This window comes from Homo sapiens, chromosome 2 (genome assembly GCF_000001405.40).
Source record: "Homo sapiens chromosome 2, GRCh38.p14 Primary Assembly".
Lineage (NCBI taxonomy): Eukaryota > Metazoa > Chordata > Mammalia > Primates > Hominidae > Homo > Homo sapiens.
Window position 1 is genome coordinate 154,216,969 of NC_000002.12, and position 23,412 is coordinate 154,240,380.

At 33.8% G+C, this 23,412-nt stretch overlaps 1 protein-coding gene across 20 annotated transcripts in view; it reads left to right on the forward strand.

Moving 5' to 3' along the window:
- The window catches only part of GALNT13 (polypeptide N-acetylgalactosaminyltransferase 13), a 1,388,282-nt gene that overhangs the window by 1,148,676 nt on the left and 216,194 nt on the right, over positions 1 to 23,412 (forward strand). The window contains exon 2 of one of the 20 annotated variants that reach the window (XM_011510538.3): positions 19,078 to 19,212. The exons of 18 other annotated variants lie outside the window; for them this stretch is intronic. The gene's annotated coding sequence lies outside the window, so the exon portion shown is untranslated. The remainder of the gene's footprint in view (positions 1 to 19,077; positions 19,213 to 23,412) is intronic. One more of the 20 variants, XM_047443121.1, reaches the window with a different exon arrangement.

The following is a 23,412-nucleotide window of genomic DNA, read 5'->3' on the forward strand; positions in this document are numbered from 1 at the left end:
TTTTTTTAGAGATGGGGTCTTGCTGTGTTGCCCAGGCTTGTCTCAAACCTTTGACTTCAAGTAATCCTTCCGCCGCAGCTTCCAAAAGCACTAAGATAACAGGCTGAGCCACCTCACTAGCCTCATTTCTCTTTTTATTAAACTACTCAAGTTGCTTCTTACAAAAAGACTTTTATATTCTCTATTATTGGGGATTTAAAAAATATACCCTATCATTTGCCTTACCTCTTATGAATGGGATTCCTGAAGAACATGACAAATAACAAATAAAATGTAAACTCCAGATTCCAGCAATGAAATTCTCATTATTTTGTATATAATTCACATTTAACTTCTTATTTTGAAACATATGAATGAGCAAAGTACTATTTCTGGAGGGGACTACATCTGGCCATTCATTTAGAAACCTGCCTAATGTGTTTGAAGGGAAAATAAAATTGTGTAAATTAGTGGAAAGAAAGGTTATCAACAACATTTTTTTAAGTTTATGTTTTAACTTTATGTATCATATGTTCTATTCTAATTTACATACTTTTTGTTTTGAATGACATCAAATGATGTTATATACATCTTCTGGCACTTGTTAGCCTCATGAGTTTTATAGACCATGCTGACGTTGTTGATCCCCTTATGTATACAAAGCTTTGGAAATATTTATCAAAAAAGGAAAAAATCTTCACTGAGGAATTAGCATTCCAGTGACATGAGAATTATGCAATGTTAAGATTAAAATAATTTTCTTTTTTCATGAGTAATGCATGCTTATAGTTATAAAAAGAAAATAAATTAAAACTGCATGGAAGTATATAAAGTGGGAAGTAAAATGAAAAATATGCTGTCCTCACAAAACATATTTTAAGATGTATTTTCAAAAGAGTGTGTGTGAACAGAATTTATATGCACTTAATCACCTCTGGACTTAGTTTAGCAATCTACGCAGTTGTCCGGAATGAGATCTAGGTAAGCAGTAAGGGTCTAGGAGGCTTAAATGACAGGAAAAGATCAGGATTATCTTCTGCAAGATATCCAACAAGCCTATACTTGTGAGATCATGAGGACATTTCAGTTTCCAGGAGACCAATATATCACATTAGCTTTGGATTGATATCAGATTCCAGGAAATAATAATATCAATTTGACAAAACAGCTAGTCAATAAAAGGGCAAATATGTAGTTAAGTGAACCCAGAGAATGGTCTGACTTTCATCAGTTTCTCAGCAGTGAGCCTGAGCATTAACATTCAATCAGTGTTACATTTACTGTTTCCTCAAAGGCTTTGAACAGGTGATTCCCTATATATCCTAGAATCAGCCTTTGACAGAGATGTGACAGTAACTACATTTCCTCAGTCTCCAAACCCTCCTTCTCTCCTGACTCTTGGCCTGTGAACATTCTCCCATTGTTTCAGCCATCTAAAGAGGCAAACAAACCTACATACAAGAAATATGCCCTCCCTTCACCTCCAATCCTCCTCCAGATGTTGTACTATTCCTCACCTTTTCTTAAGAGCCATTGTCTTTCAAAGAGTGATTGTCTTTATTCACTCATTTCCAATTTATTACTCTACCCACTGTAATCTGGTACTTGTTTTCCAAAATCATTATTGGTGCTCCTCTCCCAAGTGTCACAGAGGGCCTCCATGTTGGGAAATCCAGCAGGCCTTTCAGTCTTTCTCTTACTGTGTACTTCTGACTAAGCCTCCATCAAATCACTTTATCTTGAATCTTAGCCATATTTTCTCAGCATTACGTTTCAAGCTCCTCCATAAGTTCCTCTTTTGCCTTTCATACCTTAAACATTAGTATTCATTTTAGATACACATTTCTTATCTATTATGCCTAATTTTGTGAACAATTGTCTGTTGATTTTCCATTATCTGTCTAAACATTTGACTAATTCCAGAGCTTCAAAGTCAAACATTTTATCTTTTGTATGACATATTGTCTTGCATCTAACCAAGTCAGAGTGTGCCCTACAGTTATGCCTAAGTGCTCTCTTTTGACTCTCCCATATCGGTTCCTCATTGGGTATCTCTTATCTCTATTAATTATAATTGAAAATCTGGAGTAATCTCAACTCCTCTGTATCTTTCACCAGAGTTCAAAATTAATCACCAAGAATCTAATATCTCTTAAATGTTTTCTTAATTTTTATATGCTTCCTAGCCTATTTTAATAATGATGATAAATAAGAACTATTTTAATAATATTAGCTAACATTTATTGAGTACTGACTACAATGCAGGCACTGTGACAAGTGCTTTACATGTATTCATTCATTTGATCTCCCCTACATTCTTATGAGGTAGGTGTTATTAGTGATTACATTTTAAAGGTAAGGAAATTAGTCAAAAGATGAATAAGTCACTTTACCAATCTTCTACCCCAAGTAAATTAGAGTCAAGATTTGAATTCAGGCAAATCTGGTGCCAAGCCTGCCTTTTAATCTCCTTACCTTTCTCCATTTTCACAATCTTACCATTCTTCAATCCTAAATGTACATGTAAATCTTTCTACCCATATTATTTTCAAGCAATATTCATACTATCTGGAAAACACATTAATAGTATATTGTGCATCACTGGCATGCCTCAAGTTCTGTTTTTAATTTCAAAGGTGTCTTACAAATTCACCACTTCAGCTCTTTGTTTATGATGAAGTAATAACTTACCAACCCAATCCTGCTCCAGTTGAGCAGTCTTCAGAAGGCATGGGCCAGGGGTACTTTTTGGGAATGGAACTATTAAAGTACCAGAATATCTTTGTGATATCTAGCCCTTAATGTGCCATGGTTAGGTCCTATTCCCTGATGAAGAATGCCAGTCTCCACCTGGGAAGTGATCATTCCTAGCAGACATTATGATTTGCAGAAGCTTTAAGGGCTGAAGCCTTCAGTCTATGGACATATATGACCTCAGATGCCTGATGCACAGAAACAGGGAGACCCTCAGCAGGGAGCAACCTAATTTCCGGTAAATGAAGAATAAGGACACATATCATATATATCATATATAACTTCCAGGGCAGATCCAGGTGTGTTGTGCCTCATACTTAAACTAATTGGGGATATTCTTTAAGAAGACTAATAAAAACTCTGAATATAAAATTAGATACAGGGTACCAAATGGGCTATGCAAGCAATGGGCCCTAATGATTGAGATTCCTTGGCTTTATGGACATCTACCTCTGTCCACTTCAATGAGTACTAGAATCATGTTGACGCAATTTCCCTCATGAGTAAATGTTCCCATATATTCCAAGTACAAATTTTATCCATGAGCCATAAATGAAATATTTGGATGTGTAGTAAAAGAAAAGCTTAAAGTCATTTGTAGAGATTAGAAAGTAGAGAAAGAACCTGTAAATAGATGTTAAGATTAGTAAAAATCTTGGAATTCAAAAGACTGAAGAGAAATTAGTTATTCTGATGACATACCAAAGAACTAATCGCCTGCTTTTCAGTATATTCATTCTCAGCAATTCTAAAGTCATGTTCTACTAGGTCTTAAGCTCTTAAATTAATTTCCTGACTTTCTGTTCATTTTCACTTCAAATCTTAAAAATACATGTGCACATATGCATACACACATATTTCTGAAGAAAAGAAAAGTTATTTTAACTTACATATTTATATTATGAACTTGGGATAGAAGCTGTTAAAATCTTGATCTTGTACAAATTTTTTTTATCATGGGTTTATTATTTTGCAATGCCAGTAATAAAGCAAGTTGTCATAAAAGTAGTCAACAGTGAATCATCTTATAACAATCAAGGGAGTAGGTGATACTTATTAAATCCTAGTTTTTAAAGACATTATGCTAAGAAGGCCCATTGTTTATAACATTTAATTAATGAAAGATTGCAGAAGTTTGTAAAGTTTAAATAAGACACTTGTGCTTTAGTTTCTGGCCCAAATACTTGTCCTAATTCTCCAGACTGTCACCTTTTTGTTTTAGATGAGCGCAAAGAAATAATGGCATTTTATAGACAGACCAAATTAAATTATATTAATTTGTTTACTCACATTTTAAGCACATAGTGCACTGGGGCTTAGAAAGATAAAGGAATCATTTTCTCTGGACTCCAAAAGCTTCTAATAGGTTTTTACCACTTACCAATATATTAACCAATTCTTTCCACCTGCCAGAATATTCTAGTAATAAAATGCACAAATTAGTATTGTCAGTCAATTAACTTAGCTTTCTTGAATACAGGCTGTTACAGTACTTGTTGATGCAAACAGAAAAATGCAAAAATGAGAGCCTGCTTTCCTTATCATACGAATAATTATTAATAGAAATAGTAATGTTTATTTTTCATTGTTATATCATGTATATTGTATTAGACAATAATAATTTTTAAAGTGAATGATCCTCACCACTGTGTTCAAAGCCAGCATCTATTATTATTAGAATTCTTATTTGAATAACTCCTTGACTTAGTAATTCAACTAATTACATTGTTTTGTTTTGCAGGTAGATATTTCTTTTGACTGTTGGCTTGAGGTTGATTTTGTTCCCTAAAATTAGAATCTGTAATTATAGACTAATGTAACATTTGAGATCTAAGACAGCAGTGATCTTGAATTTGTAATAATTTGACAATCACAAGTGCAGTAGGTTCTCCTTAGAGAATGAAAGGCAATTCTATTTGAGGCTTCTAGTAACAGATTCCAAAGACAACTTGTTCCTTTCTGCAGGATATGGAAAAAGGAGTTAGAGTTCAGATACTAACCCTATTCATTACTCTTGAAATCTTCCTTCTGACATGGAAATTCTCTTTTAGAGCACAGCAATTGACATTCAAATGAAGTTTGTTCTTTTCCTCAATGAAAACATTACTTGTTTATCTTATTATGAAAATTCATTTGTTTTACCGTTCATTAATGTTTGAAATGGGGCACAGAGTAGGCTTTCCTTTTTCCCAAGACACCACACCACTGTAATTCTCAAAGAGAAATGGTGGAACCACCCCAACATTTCTCCAAAATAGTTTTCATTTCTTTTATAGTTGCTTGAATTCCAGCTCTATTTGTTATATTAGGAAAAACTTAAAATGCTATGGGTGGGTGCATTTTTCTAGCATTTCAGAAAATGCACCTTTTAAAAAATATTTTTTTCTCACCATTTATTCTTTACATACCATTGTTCCATTTCTGCCTGCTCTTTTTGCACAATTTACAGGTTGATCCACTCTCCTTAGGAAAGAAAGCATTGGGTATTTTGTCTACAGATCCTATGTAAGAAGTCTTACTGAAATCAAATAATCTAGATAAAATTTAAATTCCTAAAAGAAAGTTATAATATCTTCCACAATTAATAATACAAATTATTAGCCAATGAGGCAGATCTTTGAAATGTTTCCCTACTTTTCCTCATGAGTACTATTTTATTTTCATTGAAACTATATTCTGATCAGCCAATATCATGAAAGATAAAGAGGCTTTTATAAGAAAACTGAATAGACCTTAACAGAAAATAAAACAAAGTACCTTATATTATTTTAATCCCTAAAATTATTGTTGATAAAACACAGAATGAATTTTGACCTGGCCTATTCCTTTTGTTTTTAATCTGTTATTTGTTTCATAAAAGGTGAACTGTGTAGAACCTTTGCATTTTATGGGTACATTTCCCCTACAGTAGCTCCTAGACACCCTGAAGAGGCAAGGTCAGTGATTGGAGAATTCAGAGACTTGAATTCTGGTCAAAGCACAGCCTCTAGCTATTTATAATACTTTTGTCACATTATTTTCCCTGTTTGTGATGCACTTTCCCCATATGTTACCTCCTCAATCAGGGACGGGTTGAGGATTTATGCATGAGTTCATGGAGTAAGTTGGATTCGAAAGAGAAGCATCATTGAAGTGGTACCTGTGATTGGTGTCAACAAAAGAGAGACAAACTTTTTCTTTTTTAATTCTGCTTTATTTCAAAAGGATTTAAGGACAATATAAGCTATGCTGTTTAAATAAATAATGAAGTAGAATAAATTAAGAAAAAAATGCCAGCTCTAGTTCAGAGTTCACGTGTAGCAAGACAGGAATACTTGATTTAAACATGTAACTTCTATTTATTAAACCAAAAATTATAGCTCTTGGTTAAATTATTTGAAGATAGAATCTGGGATTTCTTTAGCATATAAAACTATAAAAGGGTCCACCTTTAGGTATGTAATCAAGTGGTCTTAAATCTTCAATATGATTTTAAAGGAGAAACCTATTATTTTGATATTCAATTTATTTTTCAGCCCTTTTCATAGAATACAGATGTGAAATTATTTAATAATACAATTAAATAAACACACACCATGTTTCATACAGCTAAATGTAAGAGATAGCAGTAACATATAAGGGCTTCTGGATAGATACTGTATCTATTTGGGAGTGATTAAGTTCACTATTACTTTTCACTATGTTATTGTAGATGGAAAGCTGATCCACTTTGTTGAAATTTATTATTTATTTTCTTTTTTCTTTTTCTTTTTTTTTTTTTTTTTTTTGAGACAGAGTTTTGCTCTTGCTGCCCAGGCTAGAGTGCAATGGCAGGATCTCAGCTCACTGCAACCTCCGCCTCCTGGGTTCAAGCGATTCTCCTGCCTCAGCCTCCTGAGTAGCAGGGATTACAGATATGTGCCACCATGTCTGGCTAATTTTCTATTTTTAGTAGAGACAGGGTTTCTCCCTGTTGGTCAGACTGGTCTCGAATAAATTTAGTATTTCACTTTTAATAAATCATTTGGAAATTATCTTATCTCAGGTAAAAGTATTTGTCACCTGGGATTTTCATTCTTCAGTGGTAATAGCTGCTCTTAACTAACATTACATTGAAATTAAAGATAGCTATATTTAACATTTTGATATTGATTGCAGTCAGTAAGGCATGATATTTTATATTACATTTAGCAATTACAACTGAAGCTCAGGGCATTTATGAGGTGTTCATGATGGGAAGGGAGGAGTTGACATATGGAGATTACTTTGACTTCAGTTATTCATTGCACTTCAGAAAATGCTTAGTAATAAGGTCATTCTTCAGAATTTTAGGAAAAAAAGAAGTTTACATTATTTATTTATTTATTTGTATAGCGTATGTGTGTAGACAGATAGAAATAGAGAAAATTATAAAAGCCCTTTATAAAAGAGTATATACCTTATGATATCATGGCAAAATAATTATGTGGTGATAAAAAGCAAATAAGTCGTTGATTCATAGGACAGAAAATTTCTTGTGAAGAAATGTAGCTATGATAAATCTTCACATTTTAATAGGAGTTTAGGTTACACAAGTGTAAGCATTTATCAAAACTTAGGAAATACACATTTAAGCTATGTGCATTTCATGGTATATAAATTTTACATAAAAATACTGAAACAGAAATCAAACTCTAGTTAATAAAGCACACGTCAAAATTTAGGGAGGAGTGTGCCTATACTCTGATAAGCATAAAACATTCGATGGATCAGAATGAATAAAGGGGCTCACAAGAAAAAAACATGCTAAAATAGCTAGGAAAGCAAAGAAAAAAAGCTACAAGGGAGAATTCGTCTTGCTGGATATTAAAAGATAGTATAAAGTTTTATAATTAAAATAATGCCATAGAGGAGCATGGATAGACAAAATGAATGAAATAGAAAATATACAGATAAATACAAAAATAAATGGAGGTTTAATATATGATAAAAATGACAAATCACTCTTCTAACACTAATAACTGATGCTGAAACAACTGGTTTATCATTTGATAAAAGATATAATTTGACACAAATCTCACATCAGAAGAAAAGAATAAGCTGCACATAAATCAGCATTCTAATGTTTTTGAAAAAATTATCTAAATTCCTCTTAACCTTGGTGGAAGGAAATGCTCTCTGTCTGTGGTGATACTGCACATGCAACAGAAGAAAATATTGATACATACAACATTTTATGTAGCAAAGCAATAAGTTAAATGAAAAGACAAACGTCAAACTGATAGAAAATATTTCCAGATATGTCGCAGATGGAGTGCTAATATCACTATAAAGATCTCTAAAAAATTGATAGGGTTCAAAGCAAGACAAGCAAATAAACAAAAACCCTCCAACACAATAATGAATGAAAGACTAGAAAGGACATTCACAACACACATGGAGAGATAGATAGATAGATAGATAGATAGATAGATAGATAGATAGATGACAGATAGATAGATGATAGATAGATAGATAGATAGATAGATAGATAGATACAGAGACTGAGAGACTGAGAGAAAATTGACGTTTCACACATTCAAAGATGTTTGACTTCATTCTTAATTTTTAAAAATGCAAGTTAAAACTGTACTGAGATACGTTTATTCACCTAGCAGTTTGCTGAAAACTTTAAAGTATGATAACACGTTCTGCTTGCAAGTCTATGGGAAAACCAAAACTGTTCACACATTGATGATGTGAAAGTAAACTGCAACAACCCTTGTAGTGAGAGATTTGGCAATACCTAATAAAACTGTATATGAATTTACCTTTCATTCAGCAATTTAATTTCTAGGAATTTACCCTCAAGATACAGCTCCAAGTATGTGAAAAAATACATGCACAAGATATATGTTAAAGGAAATAGTTATCAATAGATGACGTAGGTACAGGAGAAAAACTTCTTCGCCCTCTTGAAGGTTTGCTGAAAATCACAGACAAAGGGAGATTAACAGGAAAGAAAAGGCATACAGTTTTATTTTATCATAGTTTTACGTGATATGGAAGCCTTCAGGATAAAAGCCCAAAGATACAGGGGAAGTTTGTCCATTTTTATGCTTAGATTCAACAAAGTATGAACAGCTGTGTAGAATATGACTGGACAGAAAGGGGTACGATATAATGCCAATACACTGAGTGGGGAAACACAACAAAGGCTGTCTGTCTAGATTTTTACCTCTCTGTGCAACAGTCCTTCCTTATGGGTGTGGGGCAGGACCCTCTCCAGAATGGGGATCTTATGATCTGTAGTTAAACAATGTAGGTCAAATATTTTCTTGATGGACAATTTTTACACAAAAAGTTAAAGGGTGGGGAGTTAGAGGAATATTTTTAGGTTTTGTGACTGGCTTTGGGGAAACGGGGTTCTGTTTATTATGACCCACCTTGGAAAAGAGGGATTCTGGCTAGCCTTGGGGGAGAATGAATGAACAGAGACAGGAGGGCAGGAGAAGGTCAGAGAAAATCTTTTATTATGAAGCCTTTGTTTTGGTGTATCGTTTTCTGAGCTCCAATAATGATGTAACTAGTGAGTGAAATTTTGATAAAAATTGAAAAGTTTACAAATTCTCACCTTAAGTGATCAAAGTTAACATTAGTAATGGCACAAATCACATTCTCTGTCAACTTCTATGATGCACTAAATACACAGTATCACTTCTCTTGCATTCTTGTCAAAAAATGCTTCCCTGAATGTAATGATGTGTAAATACCAGACAAATCTCTCTTCCTCCCAAAATGATGTTCCTATTATTGTCATTTATAACAATGATTGTACTTAATGAGAATAAAATACAAAGAGAAAAAACAATGTATTTATTCTTTAAAACTGTGCATGGAGAAATATGCAAGAAGAGAAATTTATGATGCATATAATCTTTTAATTGACACTTAATTTAGCAGCAATTAAACCTTGCGATTACTATTTAATATTTTTTAAATTTTATTTTAGTAGGTAAAACAACATGATTTCTCTGCTTTAATTTTTTAACTTATTTCACACACAAAACTGATATTAATTGTTCTTGTTGATGGATTTAAAATGTTTTTGTAAATATAACAAGTAGTATTTAAGTTTTTATGCCGCAAGAACAAAGTTGTTCCTTGAAACATTTCTTTAGTGTCAGAAATTCATGATATTCAATTTCAGAGTATTATTAAATACCATTTATATTGATTTTATATTTATTGGCATTAGTATATAGTGCTATATAGTTAACAAAGATAGAAATAAATGGAAACAGTATCTATTCTCACAAAGCCCCCATTTTTGCTGTATGCAGAGAGACGCTCCTCATTGACCCTGCTCAAATAAAGTGCAATTATCTGCATGACTTTCTGCTCCACTTCATCTAAAGATGCAACTGTTCCTCTGGCAACAGAACATATCATCTCTCGTAGTCAGGGTGATTTAAGGACTTCTAGGCTCAGTACATTCATGCAGAGTGATCCAGTGTGTGTACTGCACAAAGACACCAGCTGAAGAAATGAGTGGGTGCACTCTGCTGATGATGTGGGGAGGGGCTGTCTCACTGAGAAAAGGGTGACTTTTTCTGGATACAAAGGCTTCATTTGCTTTTAGGTTTGTGATAGCAGGACTCCACTGGCTACCTGGGGCACATTTTTCTTTTTTTCTTTTTTTTTATTATACTTTAAGTTTTAGGGTACATGTGCATAACGTGCAGGTTAGTTACATATGTATACATGTGCCATGTTGGTGTGCTGCACCCAGTAACTCGTTATTTAACATTAGGTATATCTCCTAATGCTATCCCTCCCCCCTCCCCCCACCCCACAACAGGCCCCAGAGTGTGATGTTCCCCTTCCTGTGTCCATGTGTTCTCATTGTTTAATTCCCACCTATGAGTGAGAACATGCGGTGTTTGGTTTTTTGTCCTTGCGATAGTTTGCTGAGAATGATGGTTTCCAGTTTCATCCATGTCCCTACGAAGGACATGAACTCATCCTTTTTTGTGGCTGCATACTATTCCAGGGTGTTTATGTGTACCTGGGGCACATTTTTCTAATCACACAAAAATAGGCTGGTTGTGGCCTTCATTCTAGCTTAACCCATTTCCCGTTTGCACCTGCAGTACTCACCAGTGGCGCTTGTGGCTGTAGCGTTTACCCTGAGATAACTTTGCCACGAAATATCTCACTTTTATTATTATATTTGCATGGCTCTAGTATATTGACTTTGGAAACAATAGACATCATTCTATTTATTGAATTCTGTTTTTAGTAGTGGTATTTCCATTTACAAAATATGGTAATTCTCAATCACTGTAAATGTCAAATCCTAGAAAACATAGCAGTCCTACGTGTGATGTTAACATTGTTCTCAAACAGTTTGCTGGCTGAAGATTCATTTGATGAATCCAATTTTTCTGAAATAGATGATTCTTATGATTCAGATGATTCTGATGTTAGTTCTGTTTAGAAATAACTCCAAGAACAGTTTTTATATTTCATTTTCCCATTAAAAATCAGTCAGATTTGCCTCAGCCTCAAAGAGCGTGTTTATGTAAAATTAAATGAGCGCTGGCAGAGATCTACACTTTTTTTTTCCCCCTAAATGGGAAAGGGTTAATAAGCCCATTTTTACATCTTAATTGACCCTATCTCTTTAGGTTACTGCTTTGGTCCTGAGCTCTAGTTCCCACGTTGCACTGTGATCCATGAACTGATTCTGTGTCCTGCACTTTTGTATGAATATCTTGCTGCAGCAAAATCAGAAGCCCTGTTTCTCCATGAGGGAATTATTTTCTCTGGGACTGTGATCTATTTCTGAAATCGTCCCCTGGATGTGGTCCCTGCTATTGTTACTGAAACACTAGAGGTTTGCTGTAGGACCTGCTGCTCACCTTGCAGAAAGCCAATGACTGAGAAGATTAATATTGCCAAGGAAGAAGGCTTTAATTGGGTGTTGCCACCAAGGAGCTCAGTCTCAAATCTATTTCCCTAACTGACTAAAACTAGGGGTTTTTATAGAAGGGAAGAAATATAACAATGTATGAGAAAACAGGAACTAGGGAGGAGTAAGGAAGCAAGCATGATGAATGAGGGGTCTGGAATCTCATTTTCAGGATGTGGTGATCTGGTGAGTTTCAGTTCTTTGATGCTTTTTTTTGAGAGGCTTGAAGGTCCTTTCCTGAGGAAGGAATTTAGATAAAACAAATATAAGTTTCAAGCTTTAAGATCAGAAAGGTCAATTTCTATGTTTATCAAATGGAACAGTTGATGGGACTATTTGGGTCAGTTTCACTACCTGCTACCAAACTCTACAAATACCATCAATTTATCTGTTAGTATCTCTTCATTGTGCTTGTTGCTGTATACCCGGGGCAAGCCTCTTGTCCTTTGCCAACACTGGGCTGTTCTTAATGTAGTGTTTTTCTTGGCACTTCAGTTCTGTTGCATTCTTGACCAAAAAAAAGAAAAAAAAATGCTTCTCTGAATGTAATGATGTGTAAACACCGGACACATCTCTCTTCCTTCCAGTCATAGCTTATCCTAATTTACTCTGGATACAGAGCTTCAATTGACAATTTGACTTTCGTTATCAATAACTACATCTTTCTTCAAGATTGTATGGCCCATAGCCAACGTATGTTTAGTATATACTAATTCTCAAAACTTTTGCTGAGTATGTAATTTTATATATATATATAATTTTAAAAATTCTATGGGTGAAAAGTCTCATTAGAAGAATCCTAAGAGGAAATGGATCTTTTCAGAGAATCTTTCATATTTTGCACTGAAAACAGTAGTTACACTACCATCAGGAATTTTCCACACACTTCAGAATGACTTCAACCTCTCAGTGAGTTTAATTGCCCAATATCCTATTTATATAAGAAGGAAAGGCGAATAAATATATAAAATTTACTGGGAGATGAGGAGAGGGAATAGTTGAATGCCAATGGAGAAAATTAGGATTTCTGAGAGGAAGTGTGACTTGAGGCCTATCTTGGGTAATATACGTGAGTTCTGCATGAAAGAAAGCATTCCAGATAGAAGGCATTCTACAGCTAGAAAGAGTTAAAAGCATGAGAGGGCTTTGTTCCCTGAAGAAACATTGATATGTTCAACATTGCTGAAGAGTTGAAAGGCAACAGTGAAAGGAAAAGATAACATGAGGTGAAGCTGATCCAGATCCTGTGAAGCCTTTAGACTTTATCATTAGGAAGGAAGAGTCATCAAAAACATTTGAATAAAGGAGTGGATGTTTTAGATTTGCGTTTTTGTCTGCCATGAGGAGAATATATTTTGAGGATCAAGAATACTCCACAGATGCACTATACTGATTCCATGCAATAATTTAAGGGCTTGTTGATTCATGATGTCAGCATCACCATTGTAATGTCAACATCAAAGTTTCTGGCTTTGAACTTGGGTGGATGGTGGTTTCATTGTCTCAGAGAGGTAAAAAACATGAGCCCCTGAGTGGTCAGTTGACTGGGATAAGACCATAAATGAGAGCAGAAGCAAAGCCCAGACCAGAGTCCAGACCTGCTGATAATAAAATCCAGTGTTATTATTACTAACAAAAGTAAAAATTTAACTTATGAATTGCAGGAGGAAGTTTGCTGCAAAGTCACTTTAATTACAGTTATCACAGGCAATAAACTTATTTATTCCAGGCAACTAATTGTTAACTACTTCCAATAGCATGAAAGAATTATATTCAGAGGTTACATAAAGGGAACAATTCCAAAAATTCCTGTTCCAAAACAACAAAGGCCACAACATTTACTTGGTGTTCTTTTACTTTTATTATCATTTATTTCCAAAATTCAAGAGAGTTCTTCACAATAGAAAGAATATAAAACTTGCTTGCATAATACTGTAGGTTATCTCCCTCATTTTTACGTGCTAGATAAACAGGGTGTTTTAAAATTATTGACATTGTAGAAATAACTCCAATGGTAATATATGATTGTTATTTATTTAATAGAAATTATATTCATGACATTTTATTTTTAAAAATAACTTAGACATCAGCCTAGTGTACCCTCTCTGTTAAAGTCCAGATGAGGTCCACTGAAACCCCAGAAGAATTATCTATGGATGTTCAGAGAGCCATGCAAGATTTATTCAGTTCTCTGGTAGACTTAAGTGTTTTGTGACTGCTTTTGTTACTGCTTTCTCTGCTCCTCACAGTTCAATCCAGATACTAAATTTGGCTTTTTTCTCACATTAATGACATTGCCATGACATTGCTAATATAATGCATTTATTAATAGGCTAAATGCAGTGGACAATAAGAGAGGAGGTGGGCTTGTATTGCAAGATTGTAGTGAAACCTGAACTTTAGACAAAACTCATTTTTAGATTTCCTCCAGCTATCACACCACCACTGAGGAGCTCACTGGCCTTTTTAGCTTCACATCATTTGACTTGCTCCTTTCCTCATCATAGTCTCTTTTTACTCCTTTCTTTAGTTTTCCCTACCTTAAGCCCCTACCCTCCTGGAATAAAGCAAATATTCCCCTTATCTCATTCAAAGCAGCTATTTCCTCGGTTTCCTGGCAATACATACCTCCTTAAAAGAAATTCTTCCTGTCAAAGGCAATTTCTTTCATAAGTGGGTTGCCAGTGCTAGTTGCTAAAATAATAATGTGTTTACTTTCTTAAATAACCTATCTGTGGTTATGATTTAAAGACATGGGGGCCTCTTCAAAGCACTCACCTTAGAAGAACTCATGTTTCTATTGATGATGTTGCTCTTATAGATGGATTTTGTTTTGTTTTGTTTTTATTTTGGGTTGCTCTTTCATTACTACTCTGGTGAGGCACTTAATTTATTCAAAAATGGTAAAGAAGTTTTATTATTTTAAAGAACTTCAATTAGCACTTTTATTTTAAAGAACTTCAGTTAGACTTTTCAAAACAAGTCTATAAGGGGTGACTATTTGACTATTCCTTTTGAAGTTCTATTTCTACAGTTTTAGTAAAAACCACAAGGTGCAGTGGAAGATAAAATGTCTTTCCTCACCAATAGTGTTGAATTCACTGGGCCATATGCTATTAGGTTGGTGCAAAAGTAATCGCAGTTTTTGCCATTACTTTCAATGGCAAAAACTGTGATTACTTTTGCACCAACCTAATATCTAACCTATTTTGTTTGGTTTTATTTTTGTATAGATTTTTAAAAATTCAAATAAGAAAATTATGGCTATATACAATAAAAAAGCACCATGTAATAAATTTACATATATGTTATACTATATTCTAGGCACTGGCCTACTTTACATTTACTGCCTCTTGTCTCACAACTCTGTGAGGTAGATATTATTATTCCCATTTTACAACCAAAGAAACTGAAGCACAGAGAGTTAAAACAAAAGAGAGAGAGAGAGAGAGAGAAGCCCAGTCTAACTCTAGGCTTATGCTGCCCTGGATCATCTCAGATAACATTCCAATTATAACAATGCTGAAATGTAATTGGTGAGTTGATCTAATAATTCATGCAATGCCTGCCTCACTGTGAAGCTTTCACTCATTCAACCTCTTATTAAATATATTTTGTGATATGAAAATACAACTAGTAAATATGTAGTAGCACATTTACAGCCTCTAAAGTTAATAGTATTGATCCTGTCAATGTTCTGCTCTGTTCTGCTTCTCTCATAGTGTCCATAAATTTATTCCCATTTGTTCCCATTTATTCCCAGTGAAGGTTACTTCACTGTTTTTAAGGCACCAGGCCTTGATGGACGTTACTGCTTTAGACTTTAAAATCATCATCACTCTAATAATCACTGTAGACTTCTTTATATCTAAGTCCTATTTATTTCCATTAAAGTATACTGCAACAAAAATAACGTACCATCTTTATTTACCATGTGGCTTAGTTAAGATGGTGATATAACTACCATTGTTATCAGAAACACTATCTGAACTAGTAAAACACTGTATCCCATCAGGAAATAACTTTTGAAATCAGATTGCATGGGTTTGAAACCCAGCTCCACTACATAGAAGCAAGTTACTTAACTGATTGGAACATCAGGTTCTTTATTTATCAAGTGGGAGCAATAGTATAATTAGGTTGGGTGCAGTGGCTCAGGCCTGTAATACTAGCATTTTGGGAAGCCGAGGTGGGCAGATTGCTTGAGCTCAGGAGTTTGAGACAAGCCTGGGCAACATTGTGAGACTTTGTCGCTACAAAAAAAAAAAAAATTACAAAAATAAGTCGGGAGTGGTGGCATGTGCCTGTAGTCCCAGCTACTTAGGTGGCTGAGTAGAAGGATGCTTGAGCCCAGGAGGCGGAGGTGGCAGTGAATCAATATCTTGCCACTGCACTGCAGCATGGGTGACAGAGTGACCCTGTCTCAAAAAAAAAAAAAAAAAAAAGAAAAAGAAAAGAAAAAAAGTACAAATGGTTCATAAGGAATATTGTAAGGATTATCTTTTCTGTTAACGCCACAAAAGACCACCAGAATAAACTGATGAAGAAGGAAACTGAGTTTATTTCCTGATCACCACCTTAGCAGATGTCTTAGTAGTCATAGAAAGGAGAGGCCAAGGTGGATATTTGTAGACATAGGGAATCTGGACTTAAGTAGTTTAAGGAAGGTCTTTTAATGTATTGTGTGAAGTATGTAACATAATAGTTTGGGATGGGTAGACATAATAACGAAGTTCTGGAGGTTAATTGATAAGCAACCAGTTTGTCTAGTTAGGCAATATATAATAGTCCTATGAAGCAGGCTGTTTACCCACGTGAGCAACTTACCCTCCTGAGAATGAGGCTGTTTGAACAGTTTATTGTTTGAATAGATTTATTTCCTAGTAGTTCTTGATGCATGAAATGAAGTTGTTTATGACTTTTAAGCCTTATCATAGTTCTGATAGGTAATCTGTGTGGTTGCTGGAAGTCTCAGTTCTGAACAAATGGCATGATCCATATAAAACACACAGCACAATACCTGCTATATAATTAGTATATCCACAAATGTTAGCCATTTATAACTGCCTCTTGTGTATGATGTTTCTTAAATCAGGGCTTGATAGATGGGAGACCTAGCCTAACTCTGACAAGATGCAAAATTTGGTAACCAGACAGAACAATAGAGTGGAGAAAGTGGTCGGGGACGGTCCCAGTTGTGCTTAGTAGGAGGGGGTGCAAGATGGCAGATAGCTCATGGATGGTCAGGAGGAGGGAAGAAGCAGAGATCTAAGCAAGCAGGCAAAGTATGATCCTCTGGGTTCTTCCAGCTGAAAATATTAAACAGAGATTAAAGTGAGTAAGCTGGAAGATCTACCAGCAGGCCAGATAAATTTAGGATTAGGAGCTACACATGATTTAAAAGAGCTGAAAGGGAAAGAGGCAGGACCCTTACTCCATACTGCTACATTGGACAAACAGGTAAAGCTTCCCTCAAGCCTAGATGGTCTAGTCACCAGATCTATTACTGAAATTTTTTGGGAAATAGTGAATATGAAATAAAAGTTTGACCACAGAAATTAAAGATAAAATACAAGATATTAGAACTGTGTCAATGATCAGAGTCCTACTAGCAGCATAGCTGACCCAAATAATTTTAGAGATCTTATCTATAATATTCTGTACAGTGCTTCATATTATAAGAATATTATAATAATAAATTACATTCATATCATTCCATTATAATTTCATATGTTCTCCTCCAAACTTCTGCAATGTAGATATCGGAGCAGTTTTACTCTAATTTAGGTGATGACAAAACTGAAGCTTAGAGAGTTTAGTCACATATTTTAAATGGCAGAATGGGGAGGAAACTACAGGTTTTCCAGACACAGATCTTGTTCCAATATGTCCAAATAGTAATTATGTTACTGAGGTTTGAGGGGAATGTGTTACAATTGGATGACTTGCAAACTCATTTTCATATACTCTTTCCCTTTCCCTTCTCTGTCTTTTGCTCATTTTTGGTTATAGAAAAAATCAATTGAAGATATGAAAAAAATGTTTTTTAAAAAGGTATTTCTACACTTCTATTTCATCTTGTAATAATGCAGAGATATGACTGGGGAGTTGATCTGATAATTCATACAATATGACTCCTCATTGCAAACCTTTCATCCATTCAACCCCTTATTAACAATATTTTTGTGACATGCAGAATGCTAGATTCTGGAGAGGCAGAGATAAATAAGGTGAACCTTCCTTCTGTTCTACTTTTAAAGAATCCCCTAGTCTATTGGATTTGATAGATTTATTGTGAAAGAGTATAAAAAAGTAAAAGATTAAGGCATGTAGAAGGTACAAGGCCAGGGAAGGGGGCCGTATATTCTAATATGGGATTAGGGAAAAGTAGAGAAATTCCTTGGCTTCCTGTTCCTATTTTGTCCAGCACCGCTATCTCCCACCTGAGATTCCTACGACATATTTCCAATGGAAGCCAAGAAGTATGGGAGCGTTGGAAGTACATCCTGCCCAATGACCCTCTCACCCCATCCCCACCAATAATCAGAAGAAAACAGAAGAAGCAAATAATTGATCTGATAGCAAATACACCAAAGATGAGTACGGCATCTCCCTGGATTTTAAAATAAAGATGTTTGGAGCAGATGAATACCAATCTGATTTTTTAAAAAATTGAATTACCCAAGTAATTATGACATAGAAACTTACTTTTGGAAGATTTAACACATTGTAAATATAAACCAACACACAGAAACCCATGCAAAATTTAGTGCTTCATTTTACTTCAGGCCCCAAGCTGCTCAATTATTATGAAACAATCACTTTTTGGTTGCCCAAGTTTTGTTTGCATGGATGCATGGGAGAACGATGAAATTTCTCTCTCTGAATATGAATGTTAATGATTGGGAAACATAGAAACCACACATAATTCTGCAATTCTCATAGCTCTTAAAATATATAGAGGACTTGCATTGCAAGTCTTTATTTTAATTAGTGTTATTAATATTCATTGACTGAGGTAGTAAAAGGCAACCACTGGCTCAATGAGCAGCAGTCCAACAAGTCATGCAAACTCCAGTGTTGACAGCCTTTGTTTGGAGTCCTGAATGGATTGTGTCTATCTAAATCACTGTGTAATCATGGATCCTTTGTGATTTCACATTCTCATCTTATAGTCAATTTTTATTTCTCTGATGTGGCATGTTGTGTTCAGTAGCTTATCTGAAAACATCAATATGGTTTTGAAAGGATAAAATCAAATTGTAACAGTTTATGTTTCTGTAATGTGTGCATAGCCTAGGGAAAAAGTGATAAATAGGAATACTATTTCACTGTATTGCTATGTTACAGACATTGGAAATATGATTCTGCCTCCATATTCTTTCCAAAGTAGATCAGCTGGATTTATTTTTTATATATTTATAAATCAACAGCTAATAGACCATGAGAACAGCATTAGTGTACATCCAGATGACAGAAGAGATTGTAAAAGAAGTGGAGAAGACTTTCTGACTTTCCCTGCTTTCGTGACAGTAAATATTGTCTTCTTGCTTTTATATGACATAAAGGTAATCTTCCTACTTTTATAAGATATAAACACACAAAGAGATGTTAACCTCATGCATCATATTTTAAAATGTTGGCATAAGCCTAAAGGTTTTACATGTTTCAAAGAGTCTATCTTTATGGTAAAGTACTTGAGTAACCATTCTCAACTTTGGCTACACATTTGAACTTCCAAAGAGTTTTTTAAAAATATTTTCACCTGTAGACACAGTCAGACACTTTAATCAGAATTTCTGTGACAGAAGCTCTCACACCTATAGTTTTTTGAGCTCATGAGATAATTCCAATGTCCAGCCAAGATTAAGAGCCACAGATATATTATCATAGAATTAAAAAAATAAACTTTCACTTCCTTGCAAGTATTACAAATTCAGCATGTCAATATAGTGTTAACTGTTGCCATGATAAAGCTTATGATTTCACTGGAATACCAGATTTCAGGCTCTTGATTTGGACATCAAATATTCCTTTCAAATTGATGAAAATTGCTATTGCCATCTGCCACTTTTACTCTCAAAGTTAATTACATATACATTGTGCTCTACAATAATGTCAATTTTGCTAATCCCATTTAGATGTTTACATAAAAGAAAACAAATAATAACTTCATAAGACATGTTGCTAAAAGGGTTATTTGGTCTAAATATACATAATTTCAATTCAAGCTGACATTTTATGCTTAGTTTTAATGAAGTGATCCCAGGGAAATTGGTATTTTCCTATCTGATACAACGATATATATATTTGAATGCAAGATTAAGGCACATTTTAATATGCTTTATTTGTTTCTAATTTTTCCAATTAATTTTTTTACAATTAATGTCATTTAAAACTTTTGATATAGCATTATAAAAGAATCTCAGGCAGAAATCATTAGTATTACTAAATTATTTTTATTGCATTATTATTACTACTTTAATATAGTACTGAAAGAACTATGCAGCTTGAGACTTGTATTCTGTGAAATGAAACTTTGAATTAGCCAACTTTGAAAGTCCTTTCCAGTTCCACCATGTGGAGATTATGAGCTTTACTCTGCAGCATATACCAAAGAATGTCTACCATACATTTCAGATGAGACCTTTGAGATTGCCTACCTTAATCTTATTATGTAAAAGATATAAAAACTGAGGTGAAAAGTGGTGAAATTATCCTTTTTATATCACAAAGAACAAATTGTCTTGTCTCAAGTAGAATAGATTATTAGCCAAGTTCTATCTATTTGTTTTGTTTTAAGTACTTATCCCCACTTCCATCATTTGTTCCTTGTTCATGTTGTTGTTCTTGTTTGTTTTGAATTGTTTCTGGAAATAACAGTGAGTTAAAAACTCTGCCAGCTTTATATATATATATATATATGTAATATTATATATAACATGTTAGATATTATTTATAATATATAGTATAACATATAGTATAAAGGTTTTTTTACACAAAACTTTAAATGCATTTTGTTGTCTAAACAAAAGAAATTATTGTATTCACATGTGTTAAGATGTGCAGTTTTTTCATTTTATGTGTCTGAAATTAGCATGAGTTTTTCAAACATGGTCACAGCTGTTCATATAGCCATTGCTTCATCTAGATTATGTGTACTCTTTGTACTGCATGTATTGAGTTTAATTGTCATTCACTATTTTTTCAAAAATATTACATTATTGTTCAATATTAGAACAAAAAGTTATTGTCTGAAGAGAACAAGATATGAAAGAACAGCAAGAATTAAATTTTATATGATTAAACAAAGATTTGTTATTGGGGGCATCATTACAATCCTACATTTGCCTGTTAATCAACAGCTGACTGATTTATATGGCTTTTTTCTTATCATGTCAGCCAAGGACCAGGAATGTTGGCACCACCAAGGATGGTATTATAAATGTAGAATCATGAGTTCATACCAGATCTACTGAATCAGAATCTGCATTTTAACAAGATCCGCACATAATTCATTTGCACCTTAAACTTTAAAAAGCAGGACTTTATAGTACCAAGGAAGATATCCACAAGAGGTTGACACTGTTTTAGATTTCTTGAGTTATATGCTAAATGTTTGTCCCTCATATGATAAGCAATACTATTTAAAGGCAAAGAAAGCTTAAATACATGGAAGAAACTTCAAATCTACAGGAAAATGATGTGACTGATTCATAAGTCGAGCATAACAATATTGATAGAAATCTAAGTCCAAATTCATTTAAAAGCTTTTTCTGTAAGCTCTATTTAAGTATTAAATGGACTCTAGTGATAAGAAAGCATTGTGCTATAATTTGACCACATTTTTTTCTTTCATAATAGTAGATAAAATCATATCTTCCCACAGATGGAACATTAACTTTGGTAAAATACAGACAATAATACCAGTTCATTGTACCACAAATTCATCAGAAATAATGAAAATCATAACTCTTGCTTATATAAATATATGCATTTAAGATAACTAGATAAACTGACATAGAAAAGAACTAATTTGTGTCACTTTAATAGTACAGAAGGAGTCTTCTTTGCTGAATGACTTTATTCAGCTTTATTGAGGTATATTTGACAACTAAAAGTTATATATACTTAAGGTATACAACTTGATGTTTTGATACACATAAACATTGTGAAATGATCAAGTTAACACGTCTGCCAGCTCACATCTTTATGATTTTTTTGATGTGGTGAGAACTCTTAAGATCAATTTCTTAGTATATTTTAACTACAGTATACAATACAGTATTATTAATTATAGTCACCATGCTGTGCATTAGATCTCCAGAAGTTATTCATCCCCCATAACTGAACCATTTTACCCTTTGATGAATGACTGTTTACACAGGAAGAAGAGGAAGAATTAATTAAAATATTAGCCCTATTTAATTTTTATGCTACATTAAATAATGACAGTGGAAGTTTTCTCTAAGTAAACATGATAGCTACATTAACAGTAAACTAATTCATTATAATTTTGACACATAAAATGAATATAAAGGTAACATTTGTGAGTGGATTTTTTTAATCACAAAGTAAAGCTTGGTAGAAATACTTTAAGATGCTGTATCGAAATATCTGCTTTTAGTTTGACATTTTAAATCATTTAATTGTTGGCATTTCGTGTAACATACAAAAAATGTTGATTGAAAAAATCTTTTTTAAAAAATGATGCTGAGTAGACTTTATTCACTGTAGTCCTTGAGTGAAGCCACTGGTTGTTGGCTTTTGGACTGCTTTTAGCCTGTTTTTCTAGTTGTACTTCTTTGAGGAGGATGATGATCTTTACCTTACTCTTGGCTTTGCATGCTCAAAGTGATTAGGTTTTTTTAATGAGGCAGGAGAATGGAAATTTGAGGAAAATGGTAGAGAGAACCCTCTCTCATTTACCAAGATGACTTTCTAAGTTTATTTAGTGATGAGCTACTTGGAGATACAAGTCAAATGATGAAGTTCATAGAAATCTTTTGAATCTTGCCACCAGAAAGAGATGACAATAAATCCAACTACTTTTCCCATGCCTTACATTTTTATTTTCTTATATGCACAGTATCTTTTGTATTATAGATGCTTAATAAATCTTTTTCAAATAAATGTATGCTGGAAAATGTTGTAATTGAGGTAAATGGACATTTTTAGCTGGCTATATTGCAGAAGACTTTATTGGGTAGGTGATCTTTTAGACGGTTTTAAAAAATAATGAAGATCTTAACTGGCACACAATCAAGTATCTGTTATATGCCTTCATCTTCCACATTTTATTGTATTTTTTTCACTCCCTTGTGAAGGAAACTAATTTCAACAATGCTGTATGTGTCATGCATTAACCCATTCATAATTAGCAAGAGGTATCTGATTCAGTTTATATTATGGTACTAATTATCTAGCTCTTCAGAATATTTTACATAAAAAAATAACCTCAGGTGAATAAACTTCTGTTTCTGCTCCAGAAACCTTTTGACATTTTTTAATAATCTGTAATCACGTTGACTTAAAATGACATGACAGAAATGCCTGAATGTTGACGAGTTGATGGGAGCAACAAACATCTGCCTGTTAAATTTGGGATCACCACCTACAGCACTACACATATCATTGATCCAAGTGTACCTTGATTGATTGCTTGAAAAGAAAAATCTGGACTTATTTGGATTTATAAGCAAAGTCAAAAACATTTTTCAAAATGTTAAGTTCTAAAAGTAGTAATAATGATGGTGTAGCCCCTTACT